The sequence below is a fragment of the Homo sapiens genome, chromosome 12, assembly GCF_000001405.40.
Source record: "Homo sapiens chromosome 12, GRCh38.p14 Primary Assembly".
In the NCBI taxonomy this organism is placed as follows: Eukaryota; Metazoa; Chordata; class Mammalia; order Primates; family Hominidae; genus Homo; species Homo sapiens.
This window is the reverse complement of record NC_000012.12, coordinates 97,125,269-97,137,055: the sequence shown is the minus strand read 5'-3', so window position 1 is coordinate 97,137,055 and position 11,787 is coordinate 97,125,269. Positions and strand designations below refer to the sequence as shown.

At 38.8% G+C, this 11,787-nt stretch overlaps 2 annotated features.

Moving 5' to 3' along the window:
• Positions 4,233-5,207: an enhancer, noted in NCBI's record as "OCT4-NANOG-H3K27ac hESC enhancer chr12:97525627-97526601 (GRCh37/hg19 assembly coordinates)". NCBI's record gives its function as "activates a minimal SCP1, AML or CMV promoter by ChIP-STARR-seq in primed H9 embryonic stem cells {active_cell/tissue: H9 hESC(primed)}" and the evidence as "EXISTENCE:reporter gene assay evidence [ECO:0000049][PMID:30033119]".
• Positions 5,208-6,184: an enhancer, noted in NCBI's record as "OCT4-NANOG-H3K27ac hESC enhancer chr12:97524650-97525626 (GRCh37/hg19 assembly coordinates)". NCBI's record gives its function as "activates a minimal SCP1, AML or CMV promoter by ChIP-STARR-seq in naive and primed H9 embryonic stem cells {active_cell/tissue: H9 hESC(naive and primed)}" and the evidence as "EXISTENCE:reporter gene assay evidence [ECO:0000049][PMID:30033119]".

The following is an 11,787-nucleotide window of genomic DNA, read 5'->3' as shown; positions in this document are numbered from 1 at the left end:
TTGTGCTAGCTCAGCATGATCACCTGCATTAGAAACTGTTTTACTTACCTGCTTCACTTTAGTTGGCTATAGAAAATGATACCTCTGACTTCAGTTTAGTACTTTGAATTTCATGGGTGAACATAAATTCTCTAATAGAACAAATCAACCTCTGACCACATCATAAGCCAACCCCAAAAATGTAAATGTCTTCCTAAGTGGAAAAATAGAAAAAGTTGGAACCAAGGAGGAATCTGTATCAGCTTCAGAGAACTTCTTCTGCCAAGAAGTCCTTAAACCTAGAATGTCTTCTCCTGTCCAGATGGCCAAATAATTAATAATCAACTAAAAGGGTGTAACAAAGCATGGTGGGAAGACCTAATAAGCATAAAACATGCCAAATGCCTTCTAGAAATTTACAACTATGTTAGGGGAGTCAACCATGGGAAGGTTACAGTGAGTGATTATATACTTCTTTGTATATTTATTGGTCCTGCCTTTACTCCATAGAGAGAGTAAGTGGATCTTGTACTGCCACACCCACAATATAGAAGCACAAGGTATGTACTCAAAACTGTATATGTACTTCAAACTAAAGAGTGAAACCCCAAATGCGTTAACAGTAGTACCAGAACTTCTACATAGAAGTAGTAGTTTAGGAACCACGATTTGCTTAGAGGTGAAGTTAAAAGCCATATTTGACCAGCACTATACATAAGATTGAGAATATGTCAATTGCCCATAACAAAGAGGTATGTATATGTATGTGGACACATGTATGTGTTAGGCAGAGAGACCAATGGGCATTACAGGATTATGAAAAAAATCGTTTCTCCTCAATTTCTCCTTGTTGCAATGCAGTTCAAGTACAAGAGGGTTCGGTGCAAGGAGAGATCGGTTTTAGCTAGTTAAGAAAGATTTCATGGGAAGTAATCTGTTTTGCTCATTTTCCAGAAAAGAGTGAAAGACATGTTCCACTCAACAATTCTTCATATATTACTCTAGGAAGCAGAAGTGTAATGAAATCCCCACTCTATGGGGGCAAGGGAAGGAGCACTAGGAAGACCAAGATTCAAAAGCATATTGACCACTCGTTCCTCTCCGTACTATATAGCATAGCCTTGTGAATCCAGATTGTCTGCACTGGAGTCCTGGCTCAGCTGCTCACCTGCTATGTGACCTTGGGAAAATTATTTAACTTCTCTATGCCTCAAATGTCTCCATCTGTAAACTGGGGATAGTAATAGTAACTAATTTATAGGCTAAGGGGAAATAACAAAGACAATAGTACACACCAAAATATTCTATGTGTTGACTTGCATTTCCCATTTATTTTGTAGCTTAGTGAGTCATCTGACTAGTTCTGATCAATGGGCTATGAGCAAAAGTAATGTGTGTTACTTCCGGGCCACAAAAGAATTTACTGGCACACGATTCTCCATATTCTCCTGTCCCTTGCTATTGTGAATGTTGATGATCCAAGGAGTGGGGCCTCCATCATCTTGAGTACCTGAGTACCATGTGGTGCAGAGTATCTCCCATTACTATCCACATTAGACATATTGCATGAAAAATAAATAGCCCTTTGTTATACTTCTGAGATTGTAGGGCAAATTTATTATTGCAGCCTAATCTAGCCTGCCCTGACTAATATAGTTGGCATTATGCTTGAAAAAATAACTAGGAAAAGTAACTAACCTTCTAAAGTATGACTTCAGAATATAGCTCATATTGAACTAAATGCTACAAATCAAGTAAATGAACTTATGAGTAACTTATATGTCATGATCCTTGGGTTCCAGATAAATTTCTTAAAAATAACCCTCCTCATTCTCACTGAAGAAAATTTTCAGAGCCAGTGGAATTCGAAAATCCTTAAGATTTCTGTGAATGCCAGGGACTTAGAAGTACCATAGGTCTTCTGCCCTCTGACACCTATGTATGTTAACTTGGTTTTATCCCACAATTATCTGGACAATGTTCTCAAGCCCTTCTCCGGTTGCTTCAAAAAACCTAATCACACCAATAAAGTCATGTTACTAGGATGTACCGCAAACATTGAATACTACAAACACTGAAACACAAAGCATTTTGTCAAGCCACTGCTTCTAACTTGCTGTCTCTTCTCCTCCAAGCCCTCTTCCATCTCTGTTTTCCCACAGGAGTTCCTAATTATTCTGTCTCACTTATTCAGAGTAGCTTCTCTGATTTCTAAAGGCAAAGGACCTATATTCATTCCCTACAGCTGCTTTAACAAAGGATAACAAACTGGGTGGCTTTGAACAACAGAATTTTTTGTCTCACAGTTTTGGAGGCTGGAAGTCTAAAATCAAGGTGAGTGCAGGTCCTCCTGAAACCTGTAGGGGAGCATCGTTCCTTGCCTCCTCCTAGCTGCTGGTGGTGGCCATCAATCCTTGGAATTTGTAGGCTTGTAGATGCATCATTCCAATCTGTCTCCATCTTCTTGTGGGTATTCTCTCTGGGTATCTATGTTTTCATGTGGCCATCTTCTTATAAGAATAGCACTCACAATAGGTTAGGAGACCACCCTACTTCAGCATAACCTCATCTTAACCAATGACCCTTTTCCAAATAAAATCACATTGTGAGGTACCGGGGGTTAGGATTTCAACATATCTTTTTCAGGGGGACACAATTAAACTTAGAACAGAAACACATTCTTGAAGAAACAGAATCTGCCCTAAGAATTTATCGACTCTATTTGCTTTTACACTCCTCATGCCTTAAACAGTACTTGATGCATCTTAGATGCTGCTGTGAACAGTTCTTGCCTGCAAAAGAAATCCAGTATGATGGCAGACCAACATTTCCACCAAGAATAACTTAAAATTCAGATTTTTTTTTCATAATAGCAGGTGTAAAGGCATCGGAAAGTTGTTCAAATAATCAAAACCAGAGGGGACACGATTCTGGCAAGGGAAGAACTAGAAAAAGGCACATTCACATCGTGCATGTGTTTTGATGATTCTGCGCTCAGCGCAAGAGCATGCAAACCTGGGTTGTGCCCAGGCAGAAGCCCACTGCTAGGGACAGATAAGTGAATAGGATTTTTACTGTTTTGTAAGGCCAGTGAGACAAGATTTGAGACTTAACGAGCCAAGATACTCGTAACAAGAGAGAAATAGAGAACTAAGCCTGATAATACAACCAATTTTTCTCTTATAACTTGTGCCAAATCCTGAAACTAGGCAAGCAGGCTTAGAAGCTAAGTAGATAAACTCAAAGGCAAAGCCGAGTTTTGAGGATCTCAAAAGAGTGTGGGGCCTGCCAGGGTGAGAGACTCCATGAAATTCTCAAGCTCTCAGGAAGATTAGGGCTTGGGAGTGGAGGTGAACCAAGAGTAGACTGAAACTTACCCAAATTGAAACATAGCCCTTACTTGGATTAAGAAACAGCCTTAACTCTATCTGCATAGCAGAATAAAGGGCAAACTTCGACTGAAGCTACTACAATTTGTTTTTATATACAAAGTTTAGCAAATGGTTTAAAAAATCGCTAGGTATGCCAAGAAAGAAAATAACATGTCCAAACACCCAAAGACTAGATATGGAAATAGGTGCATAGTTGATCCAGATATTAGTGTTAACAGAAAAAAATCCTTAAAAATAACTACGAATTATAAGTTAAGAAAAATAAGGAGAAAATTTTTCAAATAGATAAAAAAGTAAAACTTTAACAAGGAATTAAAATATATAAAAAAGAATCAAATAAAAATTTTAAAATTAAAACAACACAATTACTAAAACTTACTAAGATAGTGAAATATATCAAACCAGTTACATACAAGATATCACATATTTTATGTTTATATATTTTTACGATATATATGTATGTGTATACATGTACATGTAGAACTAACTGAATGGATTGAACACATCAAAAGACAAGCAGAAGACAAAATTATTAAAATATAATACAAGTCAATAAAAAATATCCAAACTGAAGAATAAAGAAGAAAATAATAAAAATACATAAAAGAGCATAGATACATGTGGGACAAAAGGAAAGTCTTAAATATATGTAATTAACATCCCAGGAGAGAAAAAAGAAGCAATGCTTGAAGAGATAATGACTAAAAATCTTCTGAAACTTGTGAAGACAAAAACTGACAGTTTCAATTTTGAGAACCCTAAACAAAGTGAATATAAAAAAAACTATAGACACATCATATCAAATTATTGAAATCTAAAGACAAAAAAAATCTTAAAAGTAGAGGGAGGTGGTAAAGAGAAAGAAATGAAAGGAGCAACAGCAGGATTATCAAATAACTTCTCATCAAAATGATGAAAATCATAAAACAATGGAATCACATCATACAGTGCTGAAAGAAAGTAACTGACAGCCAAGATTTCTACACTCAAAAATAAAGAAAAAATTAAGACATTTCAAAAGCCCAGAATGGAAAGAATACATTGCTAGCATATCCAAACTAAAAAATAAAATTATTAAAAGGATTTTTTTTCAGAGAGAAGGAAAAAGATCCCAAATAGCAACTTTGAAATCCAGGAAGCAATGAAAGCAAATGTTTTCAAAATACTGCCAGTAATCTCCATAACAATATGTAGTTCAACAACTTATAGCTGGTTCGGTTCCTAGCATGCTAATTACCTCCTAGTAAGTACTTGATTGTTAAAATAAAAACATTATTTCTGTCTTGCTTCAAACGAAGTTTGACTCACATCTTCACTTGAGTCAGAGAAATATTATATTTCTAAAATATCCATTAACTTTAGAAAAGAAAGAAAGGGGCACTCCAAATGCCTATTTCTGGGTTTAAAAATACCACTTCTCCAAAATAAAAAATAAAAAAAAAAAATCTTAAGGAGATGATTTTCTCCAAACTTTTCCTTCCACTTGATATTTTCTTTTATTCCAAAAGATAGGTGGCCTCTAGTCACTCACATCAGTAAGAAATAGTCTCCTTAAGGAAGGAAGCTCACAGATCAGCTGAGTCTTTCACTCATCACTAATGACAACCCTAAACCTTTTTACTATATCTAGTTTTATCTGCACTGGGGAAGCTGGGGAAAAGAAGGATGGGAGAAATCCTATGGGATTACTTCAGGACTTCTTAGATGCCTTCCGTTACCTAGTGGCCACCAAACGTACTCAGTAGTGGACCATTTTAAAGGTTTAAAGCTGCTGCATGGTTTAGTAATCTTTAGAAGTCTTTCCCCAACTCCTTCAAGGAATGTCTGAGATTAAATGACAGGCAAGAGGAAAAACTAGCCTGAACCAGTAAAACAATGTTGTCTGCATACCTTTTCACTCTAGAGGCTTAGAAATGCAATCAGCTTCCTGGGCTGCTACCCTTTTGTGCACAGAACACATTGTGCAACCTTCTTTATGGCAGAGAAGCTCCCTGCAGTGAAAGTCTCCTCCTGAATGGGGTTTCTGAGCACAGACATTTTCATGTGTCTTATTTGCAGCCTTCCACAAGAAGTCCTCTCCCACACAAATACATGTTTTCATTATCTTATTTTTAGAAATGCAATTTGAAGAGGAAAAAGTGTGATTTGACATTCTAATTGTAGAGGATTCTTCCATCTGAGTCTCTCTAGGATGTGGCTGCAAATACAACAATTTTAACACTAGATTTCAGCAAACCAGGCATCAGTCCCACTTAGCCATATTAGAAGCCACGTGCATTGCAGTCGCAGAAGTACCTTCCCACATTCTCATTAGTCAAAATATATCATGCAATATAATTGTTCTCCATTACAGCCTTAAGTGACTGATCTGGAGTGTGAGTGTAGGAAATAAATTTAGTCTAGTGAATTGAGTTTTCAGGTTCAGGTTTTAAGTTAGCTTCTGTTCTGTTCCTTCAAGCCACAAGCATCCTGTTCAATGTATTGCATCAACAGTTTTAAAATTAATAGGACTCTGAAAGTAATTAATTTACCAGCTTGGAGAAATTTTGTTACCTGAATATGACAAAACGAAATGCAATTCCAAGCAGGGGTGGAGGCGGCCTTAAAACTAGGGATTTGTTTCTCAAATCAACTCCCCCTTTCTTTCCCTCTTCCATTTTTTCCCTTTGTCTCATTCCTTCTGCCTTCCTCTTTTCCTTTCTTTTTCCATCCATTCTTTCTTTTATGAAAAATTACTTAAGGATATAAGAGGTTCCAGGTACTATTTGAGGCACTGAGAAGATTAAATAAGCCAGGGACTCATTCTTGTTGGGAAGATAGTGGAAAAAAGTAATTAAAATGCAAAGTGAGACAAATGAGCTGGATTCTGCTTGGCAAAGATTTGTGGGAAGGGAGCAGGTGGGGTGATGAATTCCAGCCAGAGAGGAAGGGGACTGCCTAGCCCTGCTTCTTCAATTAGAGCCTAAAGTGGTACTCAGACTTGGTCTGATGAACAGGCTGGTGGTAGGCAGGACAGGTAGGAGTTGATTTACACTTGGATTGTTGGATCTAGAGAAAGTGACTAGTAAAGCAGAGAGTAGGAAGTATCTGTCTCAATGTGTCAATCAATAAGTATTTATTTAGTACATACTACATGGCAGTATTTTACTAGGAACTGGGGCACATGAGTGAGCAAAGTAAATGTGGTGTCAACCCTTTATGCAGCTTCAGGCAAGAATATTGGCCCTCTACCTTCTAGGACCTGTAATTAAGTAGTGTGAAGTGATTGCTACAGATGGATGCTAGGAGAGAAGTCTTTACGAAACATCTTGGGTAGATGGAGACTCAGGGAGGGATGGGGAGGGTCACTTTGGGCCTGAGTGATTAACCATACAAGTGAAGGAAAGAGACCTTCTCCCTGCAAAGACATCCATAAGCTTTGGAACGTCAAGAATTGAGAAGGCTCAGAGTATCAGAGTACCATTGACATAAATATCTGTGTTTGTCCAAGTTCTCCAAGGAGACAGAACTATTAGGAGACACATATACAGAAAGAGATTTATTTTAAAAAATTGGCTCATGCAGTTGTTGGTGACTGGCAAGTCTGAAGTCCACAGGGGAGGCCAGCAACTGGAAACTCAGAAACTTCGTATTTTCATGTTACGGTCTTGAGGCAGAATTCTTTCTTCTCTGGGGAACCTCAGTTTTTGCTCTTAAGATTTTCAACAGACTGGCTGAGAGCTTCCCACATTGTGGAGGGTTTACTTATATTCAACTAATTGTAAAGGTTAACCACATTTACGAAATCCTTCCACAGCAACATCTAGACTAGTGTTTGACCAAACAACCGAGCACCATAATCTAGCTAAGTTGACACCTAAAATTAATGATCACAGCATAGAATAGATAATTCTTAAAAGACCCACGGTACAAACATCAGTATGTCCACCAAAGAGGCAAGACGCCAGTAGGAGCAGCAGTGGTGTCTGGTTGTGGTGACCAGTCAGAACAAAAGAACATGAGTACTCTGAGCACATGTGCAACATCCTCTGGGCACTCCCTGAAATACTTGGGTGGAGAGGATTATGCAGGTGAAGGTAGAACGATGGGATACTTTTGTTATTATCTTTGAGATCCCATTAACCTAGGAAAAGACTTTGAAACTCAAAAGAATGAGTTTTGAAAATGGTAAAATGCTTGTTGTGCAAGCAGCCCAAGGGTGACCAAGAGCATAAGATGTTTGGACCCTATTTTGCAGAAGGGCTGTGTACTAGTCTGTTTTCTCTTGCTATAAGAGAATACTTGAGACTGAGTAATTAATAAAGAAAAGAGGTTTATTTTGGCTCACAGTTCTGGAAGCTGACAAGTTCAAGATCAAGGAGCTGTATCTAGTGAGGGCCTTTTGCTGCTTTATGGCATGGTGGAAAATTGAAAGGGAAAGCAAGTCATGCAAAAAGAGGGCAGATGAAGCAGGCTGGCCTGCTTCATGACAACCTACTCTTGTGAGAACTAACCTAGTCTTGAACAAAGTAATTTAATCCCAAGAGGACTGCATTAGTCCCTTCATGAGGGTGAAGCCCCCATAATTTAAACACCCATAACTTAGACACACTCAAACCACAGTAGGCTGTGAGGGTGGAAGAAGAGAGAAGTAGAAATGTGTGGGCTCCATGTATGAGGGAGCTCTGTGTGAAGGGGTTGAGAGAACACAAGACCCTGATTGAGGCAGACTTGGTGTGAACTTCCCCTTGAGGTCCAGTGGTTTGATTGTTGCCCAGTGTAGCTTGGTTGCTGTACCACTAGTCTACTCTCCAAGAGGCTGGTAAGCCAAATTGTTTTTGGTTCTCCAGTCTAAGGGTCAAGCATTGGGGAGAATGAACCTCCAGCCATTTTGAGATAAAATGCCTCTGCTTTCAAGCTCCTATGGTCTTGAAATGATTCACAAGAGAATCCATAGTGACAACCTTAACAGGGACCACTGGGTTGAATGAGCCAGGGCTGAGAACTTAAATACCACTATATATTGACATGAGATAAGCTGGGGCTGATAACACAGCCCAGTATATAAATCTAGTCAGCTTTTGTAGATGTCACCACATGTAATGTTTTTCTCCAAACCTGCTTCTTTTCCTGCCTTCTTTTCCCTTGAAGTCAGTGCCACCATTCAGCCAGCTACCCAGCCTAGAGGAAGTCAGTCCTTAATTGCTTTTACTCAAGTTCCAACACCCACCAAATTCTGCTGATTTTACCTCCTAAAATATCTCATAACTGTAAGCCCCTCTTCTTCATCCTTCAACCACCCTTTGAACCTCATCTTCATGTCTCTAGCTTTCAGTCACCTCCAGCTCAGCCTTCACCTTGCCAATCAGAATGATGGTTCTCAAATGGAAATTTAACACTGCTACTTTCCCTCTCCCCAGAGCCCTCTGGATAAAGCAGAAACCTTCATGTTGGGAAACAAAGCCTTTGTAATCTAGTCTTTGTATTCTTTCCCTGCCTTATCCTGCACATAGCTATATCAACCACTCATAGTTTCTTGTTCTTTTAAAATATCTACTCATTCCTCCTTCCCTGGAATGCTCTCCTTACTTCTCTGCTGAGCCAACTCCTACTCCTTTAAAATTTGGATCAAAGGTAATTTTGTCCAACACAATCTGGTCTGAATTGGATGCATAGGATTGTTTGATAAGCCGCATACCTGGAGACTTTCTCTTTCTTTTGTTTTATGCAGCGATAGGGATGAGTTCACCTAATACCACCCCTGTCCACCATCCCGCCAGCCTAGCTCTGTGCGTTGATTGGATATTTGCTTCAGCACAGAAGCCATGTCAACTCTGCCTCTAAACAGAGAATCTTCTGTAAACTAGGCTCAGGAGTATGTCCAGGCTTTGCTGTCGCTAGCATAGGAAGAATAGACTCCAGTGTTTATCAGAGCCATTTGTTTTGTCATAGCACAACTTAAACTGAGGGCAACGTTTTATAAAGAGGTACTGTAAATAGTCACTTTCAAGCTCTCCTGGTTTGAAAGACACAGCAGTATCTTTGTAGCATCCGCAGCAGGGTTACTCTCAGTCCATGATTCACCCAGGTATTGGTTTATTGGCATTCTTTCTCTATCACTTAACAATGAGTAGCTCTTCCAAAAATAGAAAAATAAACACAAATAAAAAGAGCAATAATTCTATTATTCTCCAGCAATGTACAGAAGCAGGAATAGGATAGGTCTTCATGTTTGTGATATCTGCCTTGGGATTCAGGCTCTTAAAATTAAAGCCAAAACAAAGTTCACAGTTCCCTCTGACAATATATGTGGATAGCAGGTAAGGTCATTCACTTGCCAGATGACATTTGGTGTTATCAAGACAGCCACTTAAAGTACCACAGCGGATTAAGGAAATCCTTCAGAAAGAAAGGCATCTGACAGTGCAAGGACAATTGAGGAATTAACTTCAGGGAGAGTCATTTCCAGCCTACAGAAAGCAAGCACAGGAAACAGAATCAGGAAAACAACAAGAACAAAACGCCCCCCTTGCCTCTCTTGCTTATGGCTGCATTTTCCTGAAGCTTTGTCTACACTGGTACAATACATCATTATTCTCCTGAAGATAAGCATGTCTCAGTTATTCAAACCAATAAAACCATGAGGAACCACATTAACGAAACATCTGGGTAAACTGCAAGTAAAGTTTGTAGAACATAGGGTGTTTTTGTAATAGCTAAGATGTCATCATAACTATGTCTTAGATAAAATTAAAAATACATTTGAATTCATGTGTTCCAGAGTATGGTGGTGGGGATCATGCTGAAAAAAAATAAAGCCAGCTATAGAACTCTCCATTCATTTATTCATTAATTCATTCAGTCACTCAACAAACATTTGTGAAGCAACCACATGTAGGCACATGTATTCATCAGTAAAAATAACAATAACCATCTTGAAATTAAGAGAATGAAGCCCTGCTGCCTAGGTTTGATTCCAGGTCATTCCACTTATTAACTGTGGGCCTTGGACAAGTTCTTGAATGCCTGTGTACTTACTAAGTGTCCTCATCTGTAAGGTGTGGAAAATAGGAGTACCTTGACCTCATAGGATTGTTGGAAGGACTAAATAAGTTTGTAAATATACCACAATGCCTGTCAAGCTATATTAACAATAACAGCAACAAAGAACCAGAAAACCACAACCAATCTTTATTAGGCATTTATTACATACCATGGACCGAGCATGATAAACACTCAAGAAATGTTAGCTATTATTTTTATTATTAACTTGGATCCTTTAGTTTTGTGTTTTAATTTAAAAATTGGAACATATTCTGATTTCTTCTTTTTCTATTTTTTAAGAGATATGGTCTCACTATGTTCAGTCTAGACTCAAACTCCAGGACTCAAACCATCCTCCCACCTCATTCTCTCAAGTAGCTGAGACTACAGGTGAGTGCCTGTATGCCCAACAATTCTGATTTCCACAATTGTCGCTATTGCTATATTGTTAGCTTTGGCAGATTTCCACCATAATGTCCATATGAAATTAGGAAAATTGGACTGAAGTATGCTACAGGTCTAACATAGAGTCGCTGGACAATGTTTGAGTTTAGAACATAAGCCTAAGAGGTCAGAGAACAGTTTTATGAATACATTTTCTGCCCCTGTAGCATCTTCCACAGGCCAAATAAAGAATGTGCCTAATACCAAGGAGAGAGCCTGTCTTCTTGGATCTTGTTCAGCAAAACAAAGCAAGAATGTGAGCCTATGTCAGTACAGTGGCTCAGAAAAAAATAATAATAGTGGTAAGGGTTCTAAGTTAGGAAAACATGAGGTTATGTCCAGAAAAGACAACTAAAGCAAAGAGGGTGAAGGCAGTTCTGTAAGTCCAGGTACACCACACGGAAAGTACCATCAATAAGCTGGGCCAAGACACTGAGAAACACTAGGAAAGGATTCGGTCAGAAGATCAGAAATTCTAACCATGGGTAAATGATGCAAGGATCAAACTTGTCCAGGGACAACTGAAGGTCTCTGTCTTCTTTTCACTGACCTGCACCTGTGAGAGCCGAACAAACTGTAGACATTCAAATACTGGTTCTCTGGCCACTTCTGTTTTTCCTCTATGGAACTAATCACACATTACCTGGTGTATGATGTTTATATTTGCATGTCTCCTTACCGTGATGAAATTGTAAGTATCCTGACAGCATCAACTACTTTCTCAACATGGGAATTCCCAGAGAAACTTTCATATTATAGATATTCAATAAACATTTTCTGAATGAATGAGTAACTACCATGAACAAATTAGCAGACACCAAGGGAGTCTGATCCGGAGCCAATTGCCTTTTGAGAGAAACGTTCCTTACATCCTCCTCCTCCACAGCAAAATGGTTTCAGGGTGTGGGGACATCTGTTACGATTGTCTGCCAAGAATCAACAGTGCCAT